The sequence below is a fragment of the Homo sapiens genome, chromosome 7, assembly GCF_000001405.40.
Source record: "Homo sapiens chromosome 7, GRCh38.p14 Primary Assembly".
Lineage (NCBI taxonomy): Eukaryota > Metazoa > Chordata > Mammalia > Primates > Hominidae > Homo > Homo sapiens.
In genome coordinates this window covers 34,629,331-34,656,765 of record NC_000007.14, presented here as the reverse complement: position 1 = coordinate 34,656,765, position 27,435 = coordinate 34,629,331, and the positions used below count along the sequence as shown (strand labels likewise).

Here is a 27,435-nt window from a genome sequence, read left to right as displayed (position 1 = left end):
GTGGTAATTTTTGAAAAGCAATTCAGCAGTATTTAGTAAAGCTGGAATTACATATCCTCTAATGCATTGTTCCATTTCTAGATGCTAATAATTTTTCATCTCTATCTGGGTTACTTACATATGCTCAATTCACATAAATTCTTTGCACTACATACTTAAAACATATGCACTTTTCTGTAGGTATGTTTTACTTCAAGAAAATGTTTATAAGACAAAATCTGTGAGGAACTCCTGGGAGAAGGTAGAAGCTGGTTAGGTCACAGTGTGGTAGGGGCAGAGTGAGAGAAAGTGGCAGATGCCATGGACAGAGAATAGGTGGGGAGAGAGAGCTTTCTGGTTGTTTCCTTTTCTCTCCATTCATGATCCAGATAGACCATTGTTTAACCTGTGGCCACCCAAGAGAAACATTTATGTATCTATACAAGCAGTCATGCAAAATGATGCCTTCGCAAAGTATTAAAGAAACGTATCAGAAGCAACCTAAATATTCATGATGTCAAAATCAATGAATCATCCCAAACTGGAAACCACCCAAATGTCCATCAACTGGATGAATAAATTTTCATGTAGTCACACAATGAAATACTATATAGCAATAAGAAAATGATCTGTAGCCAAAAATAACATAAATGGAACTTACAAACATAATATTAAGCAAAATAATAAATATGGTTGTTTCCTTTTTTTTTTTTTTTTTTTTTGAGATGGAGTCTTTTTCTGTTGCCCAGGCTGGAGTGCAATGGCACGATCTCGGCTTACTGCAAGTTCTGCCTCCTGGGTTCACGCCATTCTCCTGCCTCAACCTCCCAAGTAGCTGGGACTACAGGCGCCTGCCACCACGCCTGGCTAATTTTTTGTATTTTTAGTAGAGACAGGGTTTCACCATGTTAGCCAGGATGGTCTTGATCTCCTGACCTCGTGATCCACCTGCCTCGGCCTCCCAAAGTGCTGGGATTACAGGTGTGAGCCACTGTGCCCAGCCCTTTCATCTTTATAAAGTATAACTGTGCATGTATATAACACAATGGAATACTATACAGTAGTTAGAAGAAAGTTGAGTGGACAAGAAGACAAACTAACATGGTATAATGATTAACTGTATGTGTCAGTTTGACTGGGCCATGGAGTGCCCAAATAGTTAAACATTATTCTGGGTGTGTCTGTGAGGTGGCTCTGGATGAGATTAGCATTTGAATTGGCAGACTGAGTAAAGCAGATTGCCCTCCCTAATGTGAATGGCTCTCATCCATTCAATTAAAGGCCTGAATAGAATAAATAGGCTAATTCTTCTGTGAAAAGCGGGGAACTCCTCTTGCCTGACTTCTTTGAGCTGGGACATTGTTTTTTTTCTGGCTTTTGGGCTTGAACTGAAACATCAGTTCTTCCTGGGTCTCAAGCCTGCCAGCTTTCAGACTGGAACTACACCATTGGCTCTCCTGGTTCTCAGGCCTTCATACTCAGACTGGAACTACACATCAGCTCTCCTGGGTCTCCAGCTTGCTTTCATGCGCGTCCGTGTGAAGAGAGCACCAAACAGGCTTTGTGTGAGCAACATGGCTGTTTATTTCACCTGGGTGCAGGTGGGCTGAGTCTGAAAAGAGAGTCAGCAAAGGGTGGTGGATTATCATTAGTTCTTATACGTTTTGGGATAGGCGGTGAAGTTAAGAGCAATGTTTTGCGGGCAGGGGTGGATCTCACAAAGTACATTCTCAAGGGTGGGGAGAATTACAAAGAACCTTCTTAAGGGTGGGGGAGATTACAAAGTACCTTGATCAGTTAGGGTGGGGCAGGAACAAATCACAATGGTGGAATGTCATCAGTTAAGGCGGGGCAGGGCCTTTTCACTTCTCTTGTGATTCTTCAGTTACTTCAGGCCATCTGGGCGTATACGTGCAAGTCACAGGGGATGCGATGGCTTGGCTTGGGCTCAGAGGCCTGACACTTGCTGCTTGCAGATCTTGGGACTTCTTAGTCTCTATTAATTGTGTGAATGATTATTTCATATTGTATTCCCTATAATAAATTTCTCTCTCTGTTTCTCTCTCTCCCCCCTCCCTACACACACACACACACACACACACACACACACACACACACACCCCTCCTATTAGTTCTATTTCTGTTTCTCTGGAGAACTCTAATACACATTCTTACCTGAACTCATTTGTAGAAATTCTGTCTCTTCCTTTTCTAGATGAAGGTCACCTTTCCCAGGTTACTGAGTCCCTTCTTTTCTGCTAGGAGAAGCTTTGCCTCAGTCTCATATCAGCCACATACTACTGGGAGATACTTGGTAAGAACATTTTTAAGTTTTGACCTTTCTAGTGTGACAAGCTTTGCCCATGATACAGGCATTTTAGCTTTAGCAGGGATGGAGAGTTCTGGAAGAGAATGCTCAAGGTTCCATGGATCCCCCCAGCTTCCTGCTTCATACATTCACTATGGGAGCCCTGGCCACAATTTTTATATCCTTGAACAAATACATCATTTTCCTGTAATGCTAAAAGAGAAGAGTTCATAAGCTTTGGAATAAAAGTTATAGGCAAAATATTTAAACTTGTTTTTTATATATGTATTTTTAATGGTTATTGGGGTCCATCTCAGTAGGGATTGACACTCTGCCTCATTGCAGGGAAAGTCCAAAAGTTTCTGTTAGTGCTATGTAAATGAGAAAGTTCTGGAGCTTGCAGGTATTTCCTGACTGTCCACAGTGATGCATTTGTTAGCTAACATTTTGTTAGTTGGCCTTTTCATATATGAACTGTGCCCTGGGCTGTCAAAATGATCTGGATTCAAACTTGGCTCTGCTATGTCCTGTCTGTGAGTCCCTGGATTATTTACTTAACAGTTCTAAGCCTCTTTCTTCTCATCTGTTAACTGAGAGACTGTGGTGCCTGCATCATGAAGGTATTGGAAATCAAATGAGATCTAATTGTCTTCCTTCTTGTCTTCTGCTTAATCGTTACTATTTTTAAAAATGTGAACAATTTTTCCTTGACTCTTTCTTTAGTCTCCAAATTCCTGAATGGAGACACTGCACCTTTTCTCCTTGTATCCTCTGACAAGTTTGAACTTTACCAGAACCCTGTGATCCTGGAAAACAGAAAAGGTTAATAAATGCCCCCACTGCTTTGTGTTCCAGAAAGGGCTTTGTGCAGCTAACCATTATTCCCCATGTGACTTAAATCAGATTCACCAATGCTGCCTTGTGGGCATTGATATGGTTCAAATGTTTTGTCCCCTTCAAATCTCATGTTGAAATGTGACCTCTAATGTTGGAGGTGGGGCCTGGTGGGAGGTGTTTCGATCATGGGGGTGGATCCCTCATGAAGGGCTTGGTGCTGTTCTTGCAGTAATGAGTGAGTTCTTGATTTTAGTTCTCATGAGATCTGGTTGTTCAAAGAGCCTGGCACCTCCTCCTTTCTCTCTTGCTCCCTCTCTTGCCATGTGGCGTGCCTGTTCCTACTTTGCCTTCTGCCATGATTGTAAGCTTCCCAAGGCCCTCACCAGAAGCAAATGCTGACACTATGCTTCTTGTACAGCCTGCAGAACTGTGAACCAAATGAACCTCTGTTCTTTTTAAATTACCCAATTTCACATATATTTTTGTAGCAACACAGAGTAAATAGCCATCAACACTTATAACAAGGCCAGACGCAGACCCTCTAAATTCCTTTTGTTTGTCTCATAAATGATATTAGCTAAGCTGTTTTGTCCCCACTGATCAATCAGAAAAAAATGCAGGCTAAACCAACTTTGGTTAAGATTCTTTGCTTCTCCTAGGCTGAACTTTGTCCCGCCCTCAGCCTCAGCCAGCACACAGCTCCTCCTCCACAGCCTCTCCCTGGAGTACGCTGCAGAGTTCAGGGTAAAATATTCCCTCATCTACTGGCAGATCGTGTCACTCCTGTCATGGTACTTCTCCACACCTGGTTCTTTCTAGCCTTGTCTATTCTTTCCTATGAAAGAGAATCTCTTTTTTCCTAACCCTTGAGATACTTCCAGATCTCATGATAAGAATGTTCTCCAAACTACAACAGCCCCTTTCTCCTTACTGTAATGGTCCAGTCTCCCTCTTGCACTAATCCTTTCGAATAAAGTCTCTTTATTTTATTTTATTCTATTTTAAGATGGAGTCTTGCTCTGTTGCCAGGCTGGAGTGCACTGGCGTGATCTCAGCTTATTGCAATCTCCGCCTCCCGGGTTCAAGGAATTCTCCTGTCTCAGCCTCCCCAGTAGCTGGGACTACAGGCCCATGGCACCACGCCCAGCTAATTTTTGTATTTTTAGTAGAGACTGGGTTTCACCATTTTGTCCAGGATGGTCTCGATTTCTTGACCTTGTGATCCGCCCGCCTCGGCCTCCCGAAGGGCTGGGATTACAGGCGTGAGCCACCCACCGCACCCAGCCTGAATAAAGTCTCTTCTTACCTAAGTGCCAAATTGTTTTTGGACATTCTCAGAGTGTTTAAAAATGCATGCTGTATTGAATTAAAATATGTTATTAGCTCAAAATTCAATCACAAAAACTGTATTAAGCAATTAATATATGAGGAATAAGTTGTATCAGATTTTGCCAGAGCTTCCCTGACACATGCAAATTCATGGTTTGGTTGGGTAGAATAGACACAAATGCTCTCAGTTAAATAACAAAAGAAGAGTAAAATAACACAAGCATAGTAGGTGATAAAGGCAGTGTGATTAATCTCTGAGTAGCAAAGAGAATTATTCTTTTGAGTTCCAAGGAAGCAGAGCTCATAGTTTTGAGGTTTAAATTTGGGCTTGGGTGTTTTTAGTAACTTTGGATGAAGAACACAAGTTTTATTTTCCCACCTGAGTGCAGAATGGTAAGTGTGGATTGTAGAGCAAAGGAAATTAACTTCCACCAGTGGGATTTTGATCCTCTGATATCAGAATGTGTCACAGCCTGCAGAGATTAAATTTCTCAGCATTAGGTGTAAACAGACACTCACTCCCATGACTTTGCTTTCAAAAAAATTAGCTGACATTTAAGCTTGAAATAGCCATGTTGTTGCACCCACTATTTAATTCAGATATATCACAGATGCTGCATTTGGATGTTTATTCTATAAAAAAAACTGTGTAAAAGTGGATTGGTTGGAAGAGTTGTAATTACTCAGATAGGATCAGGAAAGAATATGGGAGAAGGTAAAGGGGGAACTCCATCTCACCACTGTGCTGGGTGCCTGAAAGATGTCACAACATTTAATTCCCATAATATTTCCTTAAAGTAGGTGCATATTTCCCCATAGTGAAGGTGCGGAGAGCTCTTGGTAAGGAATAACTCTTCAAGTAGAGAAATAAGATAAGAAATGACCATTGACTTTCCACACCAGTTAACTTTTCATAGTACCTTAGTTTTGGCTTGGAATTCTGATATGGTGGTGAGGGTTCTAAATCATTAGTATGAAATAAGAGTATCCTCAGCATAGCATTAAACAGAAAATTGCTTTGAGGGCAGAGAAATTCTTGGGATCCTGCAGAAAAGACAAATGTGGTATATTATATTTAGTAATTGCTTGCTGTAATGGGTACAAGAGGTTATACCTGTTACAATGATTAAGAAATACAGTCCCTAAAGAAATGGAATGCAATGTTCTACTTAAAGGAGGACACTAGAATAAATATGATTTCACAGTCCATACTTTTAGGGTTGTATTTTTCTAATTATAACACCAAACTGTAGTTCCTTTAAATAAATACCTGAAGATGTAAAGACACAACTTATATTAACTGCTAATGTATTCCTCAGTGCCCAATTGTGATTCTTATATTCAGCTCTGCATTCTGCTTTTTAATTCCACTTGTTGTAGATTTTTGTATTAAGGTATATATTTTAGTGTCTCTTTGTTCTGCTAACATGAAATGTGTTATGATTTATTCAATCATCCCTATAATAAAGATTAAAGTTTTTTCTGAGTTTCCAGAAACAGCACCGAACAAACATTCTTGAGCTCTTGTCTGATTATTTCCTCAAAATATTTTATTGAAGTACAATTGCTATTACTACATCTTCATCAATTCCTTCTTTTTCTTTCTTAATTTTGCTGTCTTTAAAAAATCTGAATGCTTGGATTAAATACTTAACGTTTATTTTCATTCATTCATATTTATAATTGAAGCATTTAAGGCAACGAATTTTCCTCTGAATCTGCTTTTAGCTGTGACCTGGAGAGTCTGATATGTGGTATTTTCATTTTCATTATTTTCTACAATAAATACAATGTGTGTCTGATTTCTTCTTAGACCAAAGAATTACTTGGAAGTGACTTCTAAATGTTTATATTTTTGTTCAGTTTAATTTCAAGTTTTGTTTATTTCTTGAATTATATTTTGAAGGCAAGTTCTATCTTTTGAAATATTTTAAAACATTATATATATATGTTCAGTTTTTGAAAAAATACCTGGAATTCTATTTATAAGATAATTTCACAAATGCCTGTGTGTGTGCACATGTGCGCACGCACACACACATATTTTTAGAAGCATTTTATTAGGTACTCTTAGTTCTACTGAAGTCTCTAGAATCTCATTTCTTTACCTTTTAGCTTTTGTCTACCTAATTTGTCAAAGGCACAGAAAGGTTTGTTTATGTTTTCCATTATTATTGGGGCCCTGTGTTTCTCTTTGTATTTCCTCTAGGTCTACACTGTACATTTTGATGCTGTATTGTTGTCATAAAAAGATTCATGACACACGTGATTATGTTGAATTTGTCAACCATCAAGTAAAAAGACTCTCATATAATTTTTTCACCTTGGATTTTGATTTGTTATAAACTAATTTTATGTGCTGATATCAGTTAATAATTGCTTTTTAGTCCAAGTACAGAGATCTTAAAAAAAGAGCAATTTGAACAAAACAGAATGCTTGTTTGTCTTTCCCTCAAGAAAGATAGAGTCAAGGTATTGTGGTGAAGACACAAGGTAAATAACATGATCACCTTACTTTGGGCCTAAGAACTAGAGTTGGTAAGTTGCAGAACCAAAACTTTCAGTCATGGAAGTCTCCAAAGCTATTGTTCTTAACCCTTTTATTACACTAAATCTGCAGAGCTATTATAGTGTTCATCATAAAGAAACAAACTAGTTTTAGAAAAAAAAGTGGTTGTACCAAGGAATCCTGTATTTCAAGGATAAACAAGTTTTACATGCATTCAGTAAAAGTGAGTCACTAATAAAGAAATACTATATTAATTTAGTAAGTAAATAAAAAAACAGTATCTTGAATTTTTTCTTTACAACATTATATGCCAGAAAATAATTTTTACAAAGTCAAGTTTGAATTAATGTAGGAAAGCAATGGGGAATTAGTGGTAACATGAATCAAGGGGTGGTGAAGTGGTTCCAGGATATCATTAGTGACCCAGGCTCATCGTATCTTCTTGCTCTGTTTTCCTTGATGAAGTGCTTCCATCTTTAAGGTCACCATATGGTTGTAAGATATACATTTCAGCTTCATCGTGTTTGCATTCCAGCCAATGGAAGAAGGAAAGGGGAAAGACAAAAGGGAGCTCAGCTCTTTTTAAAGGAATTTTCCTGGAAGCCCTCCCAGTAACTTCCACTTATATTTCACTGGTCAGAACTTAGTCACATAGCTTCTCCTATTTGCAAGGGAGGCTGAGAATATGGTCACGCTCTATAAAATCAGGATTCTTTAAGTAAGTCAGATAAGCAGACAAATCCCTTGGTATGCATGGAGGATTTGTTGTAAGACTCCCGTGGATGCCAAATCCAAGATGCTCAAGTCGCTTATATAAAACGGTGTAGTATTTGCATATAACCTATGCATATCCTTACATATACTTAAAATCATCTCTAGATTAATTAAATACAATGTAAATGCTAGGTAAATAGCTGTTATACTGTATTTTTAAATTTGTATTATATTTTAGTTTCTTTTGCATATCTTTACTGATTCTTTTATTCTCTACATTCTGTAATCATTGGCATTTGGTGTCTCTTGTAAATATATTTTACTTATTGTTTTGTTTAATATGAGGCTATCTTTCTTTTAATAAGAGAGTGATTTAACCATTTGTATTTAGTATTAAACATCCTGTGTTTGGTCTCTCTATATACTTCCTGATTTTTACCTTTGTTTTCTGTCTTTTACTGCTATTTAAAATATTTTCTTTAGTTTTAGTATTACCTTTGCATTTTTTCTTTATGTTATCTTTCTAAGGTTTTCTTTAATTCTATTTTCTTCTGCAACATGAAAGATAATACAATTTTTTTTGCTCTACTGATGTATATTTTTACAACTTAAAAATTTTGACTAAATTTCAGACTGCTAGTTTATCAACAACAGGAATAAGACATTATTTATTGGATTCCCCTTGTGAAAATGGGAAAAGCAGCTCATATGCATTTCTTCCCACACTGCTCCCTCGGCCTCTTCTCAAACCAGTGGAATTTTTGATGCAGGATCGAAGTTAGATATGGTGCATATTGTCTTCCAAGAAATATCACATGTATACTTTGTCTAGACATGATATTTACCAGATCAACTGTTACATAATTTGATATTAAAGTGGATTCATTGCCCACTATAAGTACTTCTGTATCTTACTTATGTGTTTGTGAAGTCTAAATTTTGATTTCTACCTAAATTAGCTGGACAATGTCTTTAAGTAGTTGCTTGACTTCTTGATTCTTAGCTACTTGTATATTTGAGAGCTTCCATTAATTCTAACTTGACTTTGTAGACATTGTTTTCTGGCATTTAATGTTGTAAAGAAGAAATCCAGGGTACTATTTTTCATTTACTTATGAAATTAATTAATATCTTTTTCCTTTTTAAATGACTTACTTCTACTGAATGCATATAGAGTTGTTTATTTATCTTTGAAATGCAGAATTTCTTGGTATAATCACTTATTTTTTACAAGTTGTGTCGCTTTGTGATGAACACTTTAGCTCTGCAGATTTAGTATAACAAAATGGTTAAGAACAAAGGCTTTGGAGACTTCTCCAATAAGTTTTGGTTCTGCAGTTTACCACCTGTAGTTCTTAGACTCAAAATAGGGTGATCATGTAATTTATTGTCCAGACTCATAAATTTGAGAATAAAATGGGTATTTTAGGTAGTTTACATGCAGTAAACCAGAATTGTCCTAAGCAAACAAGATATCTAGTCATCTTAGCTCTAGGGATCCTTTGTAAAATGGAAATTATAGTTCATGCTTCCTAGGGTTGTTGTGATGGTTCAAGGAGCTGATGTGTGCTCAGTGCAGTTGTGGTACATTATTGCCTGATATTTATTCTTGCTAATGATAGTATTATTTATGTTTAGAATTCTCTTCAGCTAAAAAGACATTTTAAATAATATCTTTAATATTTTTATGTTGATTCTCCTCTGCACCCCAAGAACACTAATTATCCCTACTCTGTTCCTCATTTTATGTCATCTGTATCTATCTATCATCTATTCTCTGATCACCTTAATCTCTTTCTCCTTTTTCTCTGCATTGTCTGTGATGTCTTTAATCTTCATCTGATCAACACTAGATTTGGGTCTCTATTCTCTTTTTCATTCTTTTTAATACCAGTTACAATTATGCAAACGCACTATAAATTACTCAAATTATTTCTTTAGTACTACCATCTTCCTTTTAATCTGTCTTCTTATTCTAGCATCAGTCTTTTATCTCTAGTTAGACCTCAGTTTCAATACTAGTACAATGGAACATAACATCAAACTTAGAGGCTCATTTATAGGACAAAATGATATAAAGCACTTAGAATAATGCCTGGAATATAGTCAATGCTCAATATTATCATTTTAGAGTTTGTTTTTTTAAAAAAATTCCTGCAGCTTAAACTATTTTCATATTTTTGAAGTAATTTTTTCCAAAGTAATAAGCTTTATTTTTGCATGTTATATCTACTTAAATTTTTACATTATTTTTGCAGAATTGTAAAGTCAATTCTACATGTTTTTCTAAATAGCTTTATTATAATATATATATCATAAAATTCACCCATTTTAAGTACACAACTTAATTAACTTCTAGTAAATTTACAGAGTTGTGCAACCATCGCCACAATCCAATTTTAGAACATTTCTCTCACGCAAATAGTATCTCTCAGGCCCATTTGTAGTCATTCTTTATATCCACTCCAGTCCCCGGCAACCACTAATCAGCTTTTTGTCTCTGCAGATTTATCTTTTCTAGACATTTTGTAGAAATTAAATCATAAAATATGTGGACTTTGTGTTGGATTTCTTTTGTGCAGCATAATTTTCTGAAGTTCATGCATAGTGTGGCCTATATCAGTACTGTATTACTTTTTATTGTTGTAAATTATTCCATTTTGTGGCTATATCACATTTTGTTTATCCATTTACCAGTTGAAAGACATTTGCGTTGTTTCCACTTTGGGGGTATTATCCATAATAAACATTCACATACAAGTCTTTGTGTGGCCATCTTTCATTTTCATCTCTCTTGGAGAGACTACTAGGAGTAGAATTGCTGATTTGCATGGTAACTTTGTGTTTAATTTTTAAGAAATTGGCATACTGCTTTCCAAAGTGGCCACACCATTTTACATTCCCACCAGCAATGTATTAATGAGCGTTTTAGTTTTTCCACATCATTGACATCACTTTTATTGTCTGTTTTTTTGATTATAGCCATTTCAGTGATGAGTAAGTGTTATTTCATGTGGTTTTGATTTGCATTTCCTAATAGCCAATAATGTTGAGCTTTTTTTCAGGTGCTTATTAGTTATTTGTATATCTTCTTTGATAAAAATATCTACTAAAATCTTCTGTCCATTTAAAAATTGAGTTGTCTTTTTATTGAGTTTAAGACTTCTTGATTAAATCTGAATTTCAAATGTGCTGTTCTCATTTCTCTCTTTACACGCCTTATAAAAGAATCAGGTTTACACAGTCTTTCTATTTCCATATGTTGGTGTGGTGGGTATTTTCTTCCTGAAAAGAGCAGGTTTATATTTGCATTGTCACCTAGACTGAAGACTGTAGGAAAGGAGAAGGAATGGGCAATCAGATCTCTGGGACTTTTCTTCGTGCACATTTTCTCATATTTTAAACTACTTAATCTGATACCAAATCATGAGACTATACAATAGAAGAAGTAACCTTAGAGTTACAGGTTGCTCTCTTAAATGCAGGATGAATCTGCCTCATTCGTGAGAATCTGAATTAGAGACAGTTGTTTTCAATTTTGGTTAGATGTTGAATCACCTGGGAAGCCTTATAAACCACCAAAACCTGTGCTCTCCTCCCAATTTAGCTGTAACTAGACTGTGTTACAGCTTGGGCAATGGGGAGTTTGAAACATTCTTCAATTGTAATGTGCAACCAAGGTTGAGAAGCACTGGGCTCAACAAAGGAAGAGCACCTGCAGGTTTTATCTGTGTTGAGGATAGACAGCATGTCCCTACATGTTTAGTTGGCAAGTAAATTGGTCCTTGTCTCTATTGTATGGCTGCATGGGCACCGGCCCTCGGATTCATAATGTGTGTATGGGCATGGAGTCAGAGGGAGAAGGCGCTGCAATTGAGAAACTGCCTGCTCAGTGAAAAGTGATGAAAAAAGACACTTGCTTTCCCATCCAGCTAAACCACTCCTCAACATGTCCTACATGCAGTGGGAAAAGGGGCAGAAAGTGTTGCCCTCTTATCTATAGCTCATCCTTTTCTCTACTTACTTTCTATAACACTACATCAGTGGTTCTCAAACTCAGAAGTGTTTTAGAATTACCTGGGGGAGTTAATAAAGAATAGGGGCTCAGATTCATCAAGTAGACAAAAGCCTGGGCTTCTGCATTTTAACAAGTTCCCCCTGGTGATTCCGATATATACCACAACTTTGAGAATCACTGCACTAAGATATTTTGTGGGGAACTTTCGTTAGTAAGAGTCTTAGGTGATATCTATGCTGTTTTCATGCATAGTTGGATGTGATTCAAATGCAATTATATCTAGTAAAAATTTCTTGTGCTATCTTTTTACTTTACTTGACAACATATGTATTGGACCATATGAGAAGTGATCAAATTGCTGCCCTGATTCGTAACAGGCAAACTATCAAAGTCAGCTGTTGGAGAGTGTGGGGGTTCTGAGGAATTCTGAGATGTCCATTGGAGCCCTGGTTAGGGGAAAATCAGAGATGAGAGGTTTATATCATGACCCCTGACTTCAAATGGGATCATGTCAGGCACAGCTGGGCAATTGCGGTTCCAGAGTAAAGGTCCGTCAAAGTTCTCAGTTCATGTCAATGATTTCACTTTCCACTTTTATATCATTCTCAAATATAAAAGCTTTTCAGCCAATTATTTTCTCTTATCTGAACTACTAACCTTTTTTTTCTTCCTTCTCTCATATGTGACAAAATTTTATCAGAATCAGAACATCATGCTCTTGTATTGTCACACTAAACCATGTTTTAAATTATATTGCTGCCAAGAATCTTAGAAATATCCATATTAAGGTACATTTGCTGAAAGCAAAATTAACAAATCCAGTCTCTTGTCACTTACAGAAGATTCATTGCTCTAAACCGAATGCATGCTGATTGATTATATGTCAGCTAAAAAGGAGGTTCCTTCTAACTTAGTAGAGCAATTGGGCCTGTCCAAGAATGGCCTTTATTCACCACTGCAAGAGAATGCATCTGCTGTTTGAGCTATAGAATGCATCCGAGAGAGAAAACAGAAATTAGCCCTCTGAAGGAAGGTGACAAGAAATGTACAATCCCTGACCTTAGCAATTCCAACCAATTACAGAGTTTCTGTAAAATTAGTGAATTGGCACTCAAAATGTCCCTTGGCAACATACTCATTGAACTCTGTGAGATGAAGGTGAAATCGCTGCCCCAATTTGGCGAAGTCGGCTGTTGCTGGGATGTGGACTATCTGGGGACATTTGAGGTGGCTGTTATATCCCTAGTTAGTGTAAAATCAGAGAAGGGGGTAATAGCAAGTTAGAATTATGTCTTACCCAAGGCATAAGGAGTCTATGAAAACAATAGATTCCTGCTCTTTATGTATTAGGTCCCCTTCTGATTAACCATTTGGCAGGAAATCAGAGCTATTGTGCTAATTTCAAAGACCCTCTCCCCAGGGCAAATGACGTGGTTGATGTATTATCCCAGAGATTCAGAAGGCAAAATTACCAATGCCCATGTGTATCTAATTGGGGTTGGAGTAGAAGAAAAGCATCTGAAAGGATTCCTTATTGCCCTCTGCACTTTCTTGCTCTGCTTATTCCGTAGCTCTTCCTGTCTCAGACCTATACCATTATACCTCAGACCTTTCCCTTGCATTCTTGGGCTTACTTCTGCTTGATCCGGGCTCCTCCAACTTCCCATTTATTTCCTAATCTTGTTCTCTCTCTGTCTTGTTTTTTTGACCTAAAAATTAGGTTTAGGAAAACTTCCTACACCTTCTTTGTTGGGATGTTCTCTGGACTAATGACTCCAGGCGAGACCACCGTTGATCATGAACTCACTTTGAAACAGAAGCTGGGTTGGTAAGACTGGAGCTACTCAGGAAGTTTTTCTCCTTTATTCTCTATCAGCTCAATGCCAAATATACTCCCTAATGGATCTGGCCCCTCTTCCTGAATGTGGTGGTCTGCAGCTATCCATACAGTCTTGGGGCCCTAGAGATAGCATAGAAAAAGCACAGTTTCATGACAGGTGGGTAAAGAAGTTTGCCCACAACTTGAGGTAGAGCCTATATGGGTATGACAAGGAGACTGTGGCCATGACGGGATTGAAGGAGGCATCTTCATGCTTTTCATCTTACCTAGGACAGAAATTGAGAACCTATACTAATACATCACAGCCACCTTCTTTTATTTCATTTGAGACATGAATAGTTTTTCATAGGTACACAAACACACACATAAAAATCCAAACAGCAAAAATAAATAACAATGTTCAAATATTAAGGGCTTTAAATGAAAGTGTTTTGACTCGATATAATTCTTAAGAAGTGACTTTCAAACACTACTTTTAGATACCGCAATTTCCCTTCCTTTTTGTGGAAATGAGAATAGCTCTTAGAAGAGGCACTCAGGCTTCTCAAAAATAGTGACACAACCTATTCATTTAATCCACTCTCTCTATAAGACTGAAATAATTGGCTGGAGGTTTCAAGCGGGATGTTCCTGAGGCTTCTCCAAAGTTTTTTCCAGATGCCCTACCCCTTTTCATCCTTACTACTTTTTTTTTTTTTTTTTTTGAGAACAGAATAGGGCCCTAAAAAATAAAATAATAAACTAGAGCAGATACTAAAAAGATGTTGTTATGTCTTATCCCTTTAAATGTACTATACATTTCTTGGGAGCCAGGAATGTGACTTTACCTCCCTGTATTCCCAAGTCACCTAAGTAAGTGATTCCACCATAGAGGCCTTCAATTAGTATTAACAGAATATGTCATGTTGTCATATGTAACACCTCCCTCCCCCAGCCTACCTGCTATCTGCATCTGTTCAATTAATGAGTTCTGCCAATGCTCCTTTTTAACAGTTTTTAAACTATCTATTTCTCCCCATCTCCATCATGAAAATCACACTTCAGGCTGCCATCATTTCTCACCTTAATTATTGAAACAGTCTAACACAGTCTCCTTGCTTATCACTCTTGGTTTTGAGTTTGATATCCTTTATCTTAGCCTCATATAGCCCTGTCATATTTCTGCCATTGGTAACAGAGGCTGTCCTATCTTCTTTTCTATTTTCTGGGCTTCAGGATGAGATTGGTACACTTTTGTTACAGAGTGAACATCTGTTTAATAAGTATCAGTGGAGCCACCTCTAGCTGTTTAAGTGATTACAGGTGGGTGCTTGAGAGTTTAATGTTTAGTGGTTGGTCCTGTTTTTATCTACAGGGGCCACTGGGTTCAGTCAATGCTGAAATTAATTAGAATGACTAAAAGATGAAGCCACCGTGTTAAACCTTAGCATAAACGCATTGTACTTAAACCCAGAAAATGGTAAAATTTATAGCATGAAATAACAAAAGAAGGGAGAAAAAAAATCTCTTCTTTTTCTGATATTTATTACATTTCTTCTATGGATTAACAAGGTTAGGTGCTTTATATATGTGATCTCTTATAAAATCTTCAGAAAACTATGCTAGGTAGATATTAGCCTTACCATTTCACATATGAGGAAATTGAGGAAAGAGTAATATACCCAGTCAGCTATGGAACTGTGTAGTCTGATTCCATGTCCACAGTCCTTCTGGTACTATGCAGTTGCCTGTGTGGCTGCTCCAGACTCTCTTCTGTTGTGTATGACTTGTAATTTAAACATTATCTTTATGGGCTTTTCAGAACTTTAAAGGGCATAAAAAGTCACCTACAGTGAGTCAAGAAACCTCTCTGTCAACAATAACACATTACTCAAGACAGATCAATACCCCTGGAACTGGTATCAGAAGCAAATCAAGTGGAGTGATATGGCTTCCTTTGAACAGGTCCATTATGGAACATGGAAGTGCTGTGTGGTGAGAGCTATAAAGGCTGGTCAAGTCATATACAAATAAAAATCAGATGTGACAGTAACAGAACAGGCAGCCCCGTTTCCTCTTTTGCAAAGTTGCTGTTCGTTCAGAGAGATGAGTCCTAATGTATTATACTCCAGGGTTGTCACATTATCTGAAGCAACTTTAAATTTTACATTATCAACTCGGATGCATGAAACAAAACTTTCTTTACAAGATAAATTAACATAGCTCTTTTGTTCTATATGGGACAAGACCCAAAAGACTCTTAACTTCTCATTTCAGAGTAATTTATTTTAAAATTTAGTCTGCCTGAATGATTCTCTTTCTACTTATTTTTCTTCCATTTATCTGACATAATCACTTTCTGAGTCTCTGATATGCGGATGTGAATTCCTGATGCATTCCAGCTCTTCATTCTCTGCTGTCCTTTGAGCTCCTTTTTGGGGGAAGCTTGGGAGCTTTTTGAAGTCTCTTCCAAGACCTGAGATGAGTTGGTTTTGCTATGCTGTGCCCCTATTCTGAGCCCAATGCTGTCTACCCACGTTGCTGCAAGGCATTCTTGAAGGCCATCTCCTCTCTGAGTTCGAGGCAGGAAGTGTGGGGCAAGTCCTTTCTACATTCAGATCTCCAAGCCTATTTTATCCACCCCATCAATGGGTCAACCCTGTAGGAAGGGAAAGCCAGGAAGCAGAGCCCAACATTAGCATCTGCTGTCTTCTCCATTCCCAATCCTCTCTAGAAAATGTTCTGATTTTATCTGTGTGCGGGGAGGAAACAACACTCAAATAGATTTCTCCTTGTCCTGCCTCACTGTATAAACTGCTGGCTTCAAGGCCATCAGAAATTTTCTCAAGAATCTGACTCTAATAATTAAAATCTAGGTCTTTTAAACTTGTGTTTTTGCTTCTATGGCTTTACAAAAATGTCATTCAGAGATTCAGTAATTTTCTTGTTCTAGGTGGTGTCTACATTGCAAAAATGACAGAGCAAACAGGCAGTTATTCTTGCATCTCATTTGCTGGTGTATTGGTTTTAGGATACACTCGATAGCAAGGAGCAGAAGACTTAACTCACAGTAGATGAAACCGCCAAGCCATGTATTGTTTATACCACAAAGAACAGAAGCTGGGCAGTATCAGGGTGGGTTTGGTAGCTCAACAAGTCCCCAGGACATCCAGACTCCTTTCATCCTCCTCTATGCTATTTTTATCATGTTGCCAATGTCTTCCTTCACGATCACAAGTTGGCAGTCAGATTCCTAATAATCATATCTTCAATGCCAGTCCAAATCAGAAAGCAAGGATGGTAATGGGTTTAAAAAAAGGCGGGGAGGAGGCTAGGCGTGGTGGCTCATGCATATAATCCCAGCACTTTGGGAGGCCAAGACAGGCAGATCACTTGAGGTTAAGAGGATCACTTGAGGTTAGGAGACCAGCCTGGCCAACATGGTGAAACCTCATCTCTACTAAAAATACAAAAATTAGCCAGGCGTGGGGGCAGGGTGCCTGTAATCCCAACTACTCGGGAGGCTGAGGCAGGAGAATCGCTTGAACCTGGGAGGCAGAGGTTGCAGTGAGCCAAGATTGCGCCACTGCACTCCAGCCTGGGCGACAGAGCGAGACTCCGTCTCAAACAAGAAACAAAAATCAACAACAACAAAATAGGTCGGAGGGTGGGGGAGGATGCTGGTGGTAGAGGAAGACATTCTTCTTCATCTGTTTCTCTGTTCAGAGAGGAAAATATTTTCATGATGCTTATGAAGATGATGACAATTATCTCTTTACATCCTACTGGCAATAACTAGGTTATACAGCAACCCCTGGCCTTATGAAAGGGGTCTTGAAAAATGAGTGCCTGGCTTTTAAAGACTTGGCAATGGGACACAGAAAGGAAGAAAAGTGTTGAAAATGACTGTAGAGTAGCTGAGTTGGGTAATAGCTGATAACGGCTACAAGGAAGCCCAGGAGAGAAGCAACTTCTTGATGTTGCATCAACATATTGTTGTTCTTTATGTCAGAGCTGGGCACACTCCCCACTCTCTGTGCCTGCTGCCTGTCCCCACATTCACTGATGGATTATGGCACTGAGAACCACTGTGTCTTAGTATACCTTAGAGTTTTTCTCAAGGTAGTGCCATGAGAAGTTGATCAGATTGGCTTAAAAGGTAAAACTTAGATTGCATTTTGGAAATTATTAAGAAAAATAATACAAATTTTGGCTTAGTTTCACTTTAAATATGAATCTCCAACCTACTTTTTTAAAATTATACTTTAAGTTCTGGGATACATGTGCAGAATGTGCAGGTTTGTTACATAGGTATGGACATGCCATGTTGGTTTGCTGCACCCATCAACCTGTCATCTACATTAGGTATTTCTTGAATGCTATCTCTCCCCTAGCCTCTAACCCCCTGGCAGGCCATGGTGTGTGATGTCCTCCCTGTGTCCATCTGTTCTCATTGTTCAACTCCCACTTATGAGTGAGAACATGCAGTGTTTGGTTTTCTGTTTCTGTGTTAGTTTGCTGAGAATGATGGTTTCCAGCTTCATTCACATCCCTGCAAAGGACATGAACCCATCCTTTTTTATAGGTGCATAGTATCCCATGGTGTATATGTGCCACATTTGCTTTATCCAGTCTATTACTGATGGGCATTTGGGTTGGTTCCAAGTGTTTACTATTGTGACTAGTGCTGCAATAAACCTACGTATGCATGCATCTTTATAGTAGAATGATTTATAATCCTTTGGGTATATACCCAGTAATGGGATGGCTGGGTCAAATGGTATTTCTGGTTCTAGATCCTTGAGGAATCGCCACACTGTCTTCCACAATGGTTGAACTAATTTACACTCCCACCAGTAGTGTAAAAGCTTTCCTATTTCTCCACATCCTCTCCAGCATCTGTTGTTTCCTGACTTTGTAATGATCGCCATTCTAACTGGCATGAGACGGTATCTCATTGTGGTTTTGATCTGCATTTCTCTAATGACCAGTGATGATGAGCTTTTTTTCATATGTTTTTTGACCACATAAATATCTTCTTTTGAGAAGTGTCTATTCATATCCTTCACCCACTTTTTGATGGGATTTTTTTTCTTGTAAATTTCTTTAAGTTCTTTGTAGATTCTGGATATTAGCCCTTTTTCAGATGAATAGTTTGCAAAATTTTTTTCCCATTCTGTAGGTTGCCTGTTTACTCTGATGATAGTTTATTTTGCTGTGCAGAAGCTCTTTAGTTTAATTAGATCCCATTTGTCAATTTTGGCTTTTGTTGCCTTTGCTTTTGGTGTTTTAGTCATGAAGTCTTTGCCCATGCCTATGTCCTGAATGGTATTGCCCAGGTTTTCTTCTAGGGTTTTTATGGCTTTAGGTCTTACACTTAAGTCTTTAATCCATCTTGGCTTAATTTTTGTATAAGGTGTAAGGAAGGGGTCCAGTTTCTGTGTTTTTTGCATATGGCTAGCCAGTTTGCCCAGCACCATTTATTAAACAGGGAATCCTTTCCTCATTGCTTGTTTTGTCAGGTTTGTCAAAGATCAGATGATTGTAGATATATGTCATTATTTCTGAGGCCTCTGTTCTGTTCCATTGGTCTATATATCTGTCTTGGTACCAGTACCATGCTGTTTGTAGTATAGTTTGAAGTCAGGTAGTGTGATGCCTCCAGCTTTGTTATTTTTGCTTAGGATTTTCTTGGCTATACAGCCTCATTTTTGGTTCCGTATCAAATTTAAAGTAGTTTTTTTCTAATTCTGTGAAGAAAGTTAATGGTAGCTTGATGGGGATAGCATTGAATCTCTAAATTACTTTGGGCAGTATGGCCATTTTCACGATATTGATTCTTCCTATCCATGAGCATGGAATGTTTTTCCATGTGTTTGTGTCCTCTTTTATTTCCTTGAGCAGTGGTTTGTAGTTCTTGAAGAGGTCCTTCACATCCCTTGTAAGTAAGTTGGATTCCTAGGTATTTATTCTCTTGTAGCCATTGTGAATGGGAGTTCACTCATAATCTTTCTCTCTTTTTGTGTATGATTGGTGCATAGGAATTCTTCTGATTTTTGCACATTGATTTTGTATCCTGAGACTTGGCTGAAGTTGCTTATCAGCTGAAGGAGATTTTGGGCTGAGACAATGGGGTTTTCTAGGTATACAGTCATGTCATCTGCAAACAGAGACAGTTGGATTTCCTTTCTTTTTGAATACGCTTTATTTCTTTCTCTTGCCTGATTGCCCTGGCCAGAACTTCCAATTCTATGTTGAATAGGAGTGGAGAGAGAGGGCATCCTTGTCTTGTGCTGGTTTTCAAAGGGAATGCTTCCAGCTTTTGCCCGTTCAGTGTGATACTGGCTGTGGGTTTGTCATAAATAGCTCTTATTATTTTGAGATATGTTCCATCAATACCTAGTTTATTGAGAGTTTTTAGCATGAAGGGGTGTTGAATTTTGTCAAAGGCCTTTTCTGCATCTATTGAGATAATCATGTGGTTTCTGTCATTGGTTCTGTTTATGTGATGGATTACGTTTATTGATTTCCATAAGTTAAACTAGCCTTGCAGCCCAGGTATGAAGCCAACTTGATTGTGGTGGATAAGCTATTTGATGTGCTGCTGGATTTGGTTTGCCAGTATTTTATTGAGGATTTTCACATTGATGTTCATCAGGGATATTGGCCTAAAATTTCTTTTTTTGTTGTGTCTCTGCCAGGTTTTAGTATCAGGATGATGCTGGTCTCTTAAAATGAGTTAGGGAGGAGTCCCTCTTTTTTTGTTGTTTGGAAAAATTTCAGAAGGAATAGTACCAGCTCCTCTTTGTACCTCTGGTAGAATTTGGCAGTGAATCCATCTGGTCCTGTGGTTTTTTTGGTTGGTAGGCTATTAATTACTGCCTCAATTTCAGAACTTGTTACTGGTCTATTCAGGGATCAACTTCTTCCTGGTTTGGTCTTGGGAGTGTGTATGTGTCCAGGAATTTATCCATTTCTTCTAGATGTTCTAGTTTATTTGCATAGAGATGTTTATAGTATTCTCTGATGGTGGTTTGTCTTTCTGTGGGATCAGTGATGGTATCCCTTTATCATTTTTTATTGTGTCTATTTGATTTTTCTCTATTTTCTTCTTTATTAGTCTGGCTAGCGGTCTATCTATTTTGTTAATCTTTTCAAAACACCAGCTCCTGGGTTCGTTGATATTTTTAAGGGTTTTTCATGTCTCTATCTCCTTCAGTTCTGCTCTGATCTTAGTTATTTCTTGCCTTCTGCTAGCTTTTGAATTTCTTTGCCCTTGCTTCTCTAGTTCTTTTAATTCTGATGTTAGGGTGTTGATTTTAGATCTTTTCTACTTTCTCCTGTGGGCATTTAGTGCTATAAATTTTCCTCTAAACACTGCTTTAGCTGTGTCCCAGAGATTCTGGTACACTGTGTCTTTGTTCTCATTGGTTTCAAAGAACTTATTTATTTCTGCCTTGATTTCATTATGTACCCAGTAGTCATTCAGGGGCAGGTTGTTCAGTTTCCTTGTGGTTGTGCAGTTTTGAATGAGTTTCTTAATCTTGGGTTCTAATTTGATTGCACTGTGGTCTGAGAGACTGTTATGATTTCCGTTCTTTTGCATTTGCTGAGGAGTGTTTCACTTCCAATTATGTGGTCAATTTTAGAATAAGTGCCATGAGGTGCTGAGAAGAAGGTATATTCTGTTAATTTGGGGTGGAGATGTCTATTAGGTCTGCTCAATCCAGAGCTGAGTTCAAGTCCTGAATATCCTTGTTAATTTTCTGTCTTGTTGATCTGTCTAATATTGACAGTGGGTTGTTAAAGTCTCCCACTATTATTGTGTGAGATTCTAAGTCTCTTTGTAGTTCTCTAAGAACTTGCTTTATGAATCTGGGTGCTCCTGTATTGGGTGCATATATATTTAGGATAGTTAGCTCTTCTTGTTGCTTTGATCCCTTTACCATTATGTAATGCTCTTCTTTGTCTTTTTTGATCTTTGTTGGTTTAAAGTCTGTTTTATCAGAGACTAGGATTGCAACCCCTGCTTTTTTTTGCTTTCCATTTTCTTGGTAAATTCTCCTCCATCCCTTCATTTTGAGCCTGTGTATGTCTTTGTCTGTGAGATGGGTCTCCTGAATACAGCACACCAGTGGTTCTTCACTGCTTATCCAATTTGCCAGTCTGTGTCTTTTAATTGGGGCATTTAGTTTGTTTACATTTGAGGTTAATATTGTTAGTGTGAATTTGATCCTGTCATTGTGATGCTAGCTGGTTATTTTGCTCATTAGTTGATGCAGTTTCTTCATAGTGTTGATGGTCTTTACAATTTGGTATGTTTTTGCAGTGGCTAGTATGGGTTTTTCCTTTTCATATTTAGTGCTTCCTTCAGGAGCTCTTTTAAGTCAGGTCTGGTGGTGACAAAATCTCTCAGCATTTGCTTGTCTGTAAAGGATTTTGTTTCTCCTTTGCTTATGAAGCTTAGTATGACTGGATATGAAATTCTGGGTTGAAAATTATTTTCTTTAAGAATGTTGAATATTGGCCCCTACTCTCTTCTGGCTTGTAGGGTTTCTGCAGAGAGATCCACTGTTAGTCTGATAGGCTCCCTTTTGTGGGTAACCCGACCTTTCTCTCTAGCTGCTGTTAATATTTTTTCCTTCATTTCAAACTTGGTGAATCTGATGATTATGTGTTTTGGGGTTGCTCTTCTCGAGGAGTATCTTTGTGGTGTTCCATGTACTTCCTGAATTTGAATATTGGCCTGTCTTAGTAGGTTGGGGAAGTTCTCCTGGATCATATCCTGAAGAATGTTTTCCAACTTGGTTCCATTCTCCCCATCACTTTCAGGTACACCCATCAAACGTAGATTTGGTCTTTTCACATAGTTCTATATTTCTCAGAGGATTTGTTTGTTCCTTTTCTTTTTTTTTTTTTGTTATTTATTATACTTTAAGTTTTAGGGTACATGTGCACAATGTGCAGGTTAGTTACATATGTATACATATGCCATGTTGGTGTGCTGCACCCAGTAACTCGTCATTTAACATTAGGTATATCTCCAAATGCTATCCCTCCCCACCTCCCCACACCCCACAACAGGCCCCTGTGTGTGATGTTCCCCTTCCTGTGTCCATGTGTTCTCATTGTTCAATTCCCACCTATGAGTGAGAACATACAGTGTTTGGATTTTTGTCCTTGCGATAGTTTGCTGAGAGTGATGGTTTCCATCTTCATCCGTGTCCCTACAAAGGGCATGAACTCATCATTTTTTATGGCTGCATAGTATTCCATGGTGTATATGTACCACATTTTCTTAATCCAGTCTACCATTGTTGGAGATTTGGGTTGGTTCCAAGTCTTTGCTATCGTGAATAGTGCCACAATAAACATACATGTGCATGTGTCTTTATAGCAGCTTGATTTATAATCCTTTGGGTGTATACCCAGTAATGGGATTGCTGGGTCAAATGGTATTTCTAGTTCTAGATCCCTGAGGAATCGCCACACTGACTTCCACAATGGTTGAACTAGTTTACAGTCCCACCAACAGTGTAAAAGTGTTCCTATTTCTCCACATCCTCTCCAGCACCTGTTGTTTCCTGACTTTTTAATGATTGCCATTCTAACTGGTGTGAGATGGTATCTCATTGTAGTTTTGATTTGCATTTCTTTGATGGCCATTGATGATGAGCATTTTTTCATGTGTCTTTTGGCTGCATAAATGTCTTCTTTTGAGAAGTGTCTGTTCATGTCCTTTGCCCACTTGTTGATGGGGTTGTTTGTTTTTTTCTTGTAAATTTGTTGGAGTTCATTGTAGATTCTGGATATTAGCCCTTTGTCAGATGAGTAGATTGCAAAACTTTTCTCCCATTCTGTAGGTTGCCTGTTCACTCTGATGGTAGTTTCTTTTGCTGTGCAGAAGCTCTTTAGTTTGATTAGATCCCATTTGTCAATTTTGGCTTTTGTTGCCATTGCTTTTGGTGTTTTAGACATGAAGTCCTTGCCCATGCCTATGTCCTGAATGGTATTGCCTAGATTTTCTTCTAGGGTTTTTATGGTTTTAGGTCTAACGTTTAAGTCTTTAATCCATCTTGAATTAATTTTTATATAAGGTGTAAGGAAGGGATCCAGTTTCAGCTTTCTACATATGGCTAGCCAGTTTTCCCAGCACCATTTATTAAATAGGGAATCCTTTCCCCATTTCTTGTTTTTGTCAGGTTTGTCAAAGATCAGATAGTTGTAGATATGCGGCATTATTTCTGAGGGCTCTGTTCTGTTCCATTGGTCTATAACTCAGTTTTGGTAGCAGTACCATGGTGTTTTTGTTACTGTTGCCTTGTAGTATTGTTTGAAGTCAGGTAGCGTGATGCCTCCAGCTTTGTTCTTTTGGCTTAGGATTGACTTGGCATTGTGGGCTCTTTTTTGGTTCCATATGAACTTTAAAGTAGTTTTTTCCAATTCTGTGAAGAAAGTCATTGGTAGCTTGATGGGGATGGCATTGAATCTATAAATTACCTTGGGCTGTATGGCCATTTTCATGATATTGATTCTTCCTACCCATGAGCATGGAATATTCTTCCATTTGTTTGTATCCTCTTTTATTTCCTTGAGCAGTGGTTTGTATTTCTCCTTGAAGAGGTCCTTCACATCCCTTGTAAGTTGGATTCCTAGGTATTTTATTTTCTTCGAAGCAATTGTGAATGGGAGTTCACTCATGATTTGGTCTCTGTTTGTCTGTTATTGGTGTATAAGAATGCTTGTGATTTTTGCACATTGATTTTGTATCCTGTGACTTTCCTGAAGTTGCCTGTCAGCTTAAGGAGATTTTGGGCTGAGATGATGGGATTTTCTAAATATATAATCATGTCATCTGCAAACAGGGAAAACTTGACTTCCTTTTTTACTAATTGAATACCCTTTATTTCCTTCTCCTGCCTGATTGCCCTGGCCAGAACTTCCAACACTATGTTGAATAGGAGTGGTGAGAGAGGGCATCCCTGGCTTGTGCCAGTTTGCAAAAGGAATGCTTCCAGTTTTTGCCCATTCAGTATGATATTGGCTGTGGGTTTGTCATAGATAGCTCTTATTATTTTGAGATACGTACTATCAATACCTACTTTATTGAGAGTTTTTAGCATGAAGTGTTGTTGAATTTTGTCAAGGCCTTTTCTGCATCTACTGAGATAATCATGTGGCTTTTGTTGTTGGTTCTGTTTATATGCTGGATTATGTTTATTGATTTGCGTATGTTGAACCAGCCTTGCATCCCAGGGATGAAGCCCACTTGATCAAGGTGGATAAGCTTTTTGATGTGCTGCTGGATTCAGTTTGCCAGTATTTTATTGGGGATTTTTGCATCGATATTCATCAGGGATAGTGATGGAAGATCAAATGAATGAAATGAAGTGAGAATAGAAGTTTAGAGAAAAAAGAATAAAAAGAAATGAACAAAGCCTCCAAGAAATATGGGACTATGTGAAAAGACCAAATCTACGTCTGATTGATGTACCTGAAAGTGACGGGGAGAACGGAACCATGTTGGAAAACACTCTGCAGGATATTATCCAGGAGAACTTCCCCAATCTAGCAAGGCAGGCCAACATTCAAATTCAGGAAATACAGAGAAGGCCACAAAGATACTCCTCGAGAAGAGCAACTCTAAGACACATAATTGTCAGATTCACCAAAGTTGAAATGAAGGAAAAAATGTTAAGGGCAGCCAGAGAGAAAGGTCGGGTTACCCACAAAGGGAAGACCATCAGACTAACAGCTGATCTCTCGGCAGAAACCCTACAAGCCAGAAGAGAGTGGGGGCCAATATTCAACATTCCTAAAGAAAAGAATGTTCAACTCAGAATTTCATATCCAGCCAAACTAAGCTTCATAAGTGAAGGAGAAATAAAATCCTTTACAGACAAGCAAATGCTGAGAGATTTTGTCACCACCAGGCCTGCCCTAAAAGAGTTCCTGAAGGAAGCACTAAACATGGAAAGGTACAACCGGTACTAGCCACTGCAAAAACACGCCAAATTGTAAAGACCATCAAGGCTAGGAAGAAACTGCATCAACTAACGAGCAAAATAACCAGCTAACATCATAATGACAGGATCAAATTCACACATAACAATATTAACCTTAAATGTAAATGGGCTAAATGCTCCAATTAAAAGACACAGACTGGCAAATTGGATAAAGACTCAAGACCCATCAGTGTACTGTATTCAGGAGACCCATCTTATGTGCAGAGACACACACAGGCTCAAAATAAAGGGATGGAGGAAGATCTACCAAGCAAATGGAAAGCAAAAAAAGGCAGGGTTTCAATCCTAGTCTCTGATAAAACAGACTTTAAACCAACAAAGATCAAAAGAGACAAAGAAGGCCATTACATAATGGTAAAGGGATCAATTCAACAAGAAGAGCTAACTATCCTAAATATATATGTACCCAATACAGGAGCACCCAGATTCATAAAGCAAGTCCTTAGAGACCTAGAAAGAGACTTAGATTCCCACACAATAATAGTTGGGGACTTTAACACCCCACTGTTAACATTAGACGGATCAAGGAGACAGAAAGTTAACAAGGATATCCAGGATTTGAACTCAGCTCTGCACCAAGCAGACCTAATAGACATCTACAGAACTCTCCACCCCAAATCAACAGAATATACATTCTTTTCAGCACCACACCACACCTATTCCAAAATTCACCACATACTTGGAAGTAAAGCTCTCCTCAGCAAATGTAAAAGAACAGAAATTATAACAAACTATCTCTCAGACCACAGTGCAATCAAAGTAGAACTCAGGATTAAGAAACTCACTCAAAACCGCTCAACTACATGGAAACTGAACAACCCGCTCCTGAATGACTACTGGGTACATAACGAAATGAAGGCAGAAATAAAGATGTTCTTTGAAACCAACGAGAACAAAGACACAACATACCAGAATCTCTGGGACACACTCAAAGCAGTGTGTAGAGGGAAATTTATAGCACTAAATGCCCACAAGAGAAAGCAGGAAAGGTCTAAAATTGACACCCTAACATCACAATTAAAAGGACTAGAGAAGCAAGAGCAAACAAATTCAAAAGCTAGCAGAAGGCAAGAAATAACTAAGATCAGAGCAGAACTGAAGGAAATAGAGACACAAAAAACCCTTCAAAAAATCAATGAATCCAGGAGCTGGTTTTTTGAAAAGATCAACAAAATTGATAGACCGCTAGCAAGACTAATAAAGAAGAAAAGAGAGAAGAATCAAATAGACGCAATAAAAAATGATAAAGGGGATATCACCACCGATCCCACAGAAATACAAACTACCATCACAGAATACTATAAACACCTCTATGCAAATAAACTAGAAAATCTAGAAGAAATGGATAAATTCCTCAACACATACATCCTCCCAAGACTAAACCAGGAAGAAGTTGAATCTCTGAATAGACCAATAACAGGCTCTGAAATTGAGGCAATAATTAATAGCTTACCAACCAAAGAAAGTCCAGGACCAGATGGATTCACAGCCGAATTCTACCAGAGGTACAAAGAGGAGCTGGTACCATTCCTTCTGAAACTATTCCAATCAATAGAAAAAGAGGGAATCCTCCCTAACTCATTTTATGAGGCCAGCATCATCCTGATACCAAAGCCTGGCAGAGACACAACAAAAACAGAGAATGTACGTTCCCTTTCATACATTTTTCTCTAATCTTGTCTTCACGCTTTATTTCATTAAGTTAATCTTCAGTCTCTGATATCCTTTCTTCCACTTGATCAATTCGGCTATTGATACTTCTGTATGCTTCAGGAAGTTTTCGTGCTATGTTTTTCAGTTCCATCAGGTCATTTATATTCTTCCCTAAACCGGTTATTCTAGTTAGCAATTCCTCTAACCTTTTTTTTCAAGGTTCTTAGCTTCCTTGCATTGGGT

General features: G+C 38.1%; 1 long non-coding RNA gene across 2 annotated transcripts in view, besides 2 other annotated features; it reads left to right on the top strand.

Moving 5' to 3' along the window:
* NPSR1-AS1 (NPSR1 antisense RNA 1) overlaps positions 1–27,435 on the top strand; it is a 487,820-nt gene that overhangs the window by 177,566 nt on the left and 282,819 nt on the right. The gene's annotated exons all lie outside the window — the stretch shown is intronic.
* Positions 1,170–2,369: an enhancer, noted in NCBI's record as "CDK7 strongly-dependent group 2 enhancer chr7:34694009-34695208 (GRCh37/hg19 assembly coordinates)". NCBI's record gives its function as "activates an origin of replication core promoter dependent on BRD2, BRD4, P300/CBP, MED14 and CDK7 cofactors, with strong dependence on CDK7, by STARR-seq in HCT116 cells {active_cell/tissue: HCT116}" and the evidence as "EXISTENCE:reporter gene assay evidence [ECO:0000049][PMID:35650434]".
* Positions 4,299–4,884: an enhancer, noted in NCBI's record as "NANOG-H3K27ac hESC enhancer chr7:34691494-34692079 (GRCh37/hg19 assembly coordinates)". NCBI's record gives its function as "activates a minimal SCP1, AML or CMV promoter by ChIP-STARR-seq in naive H9 embryonic stem cells {active_cell/tissue: H9 hESC(naive)}" and the evidence as "EXISTENCE:reporter gene assay evidence [ECO:0000049][PMID:30033119]".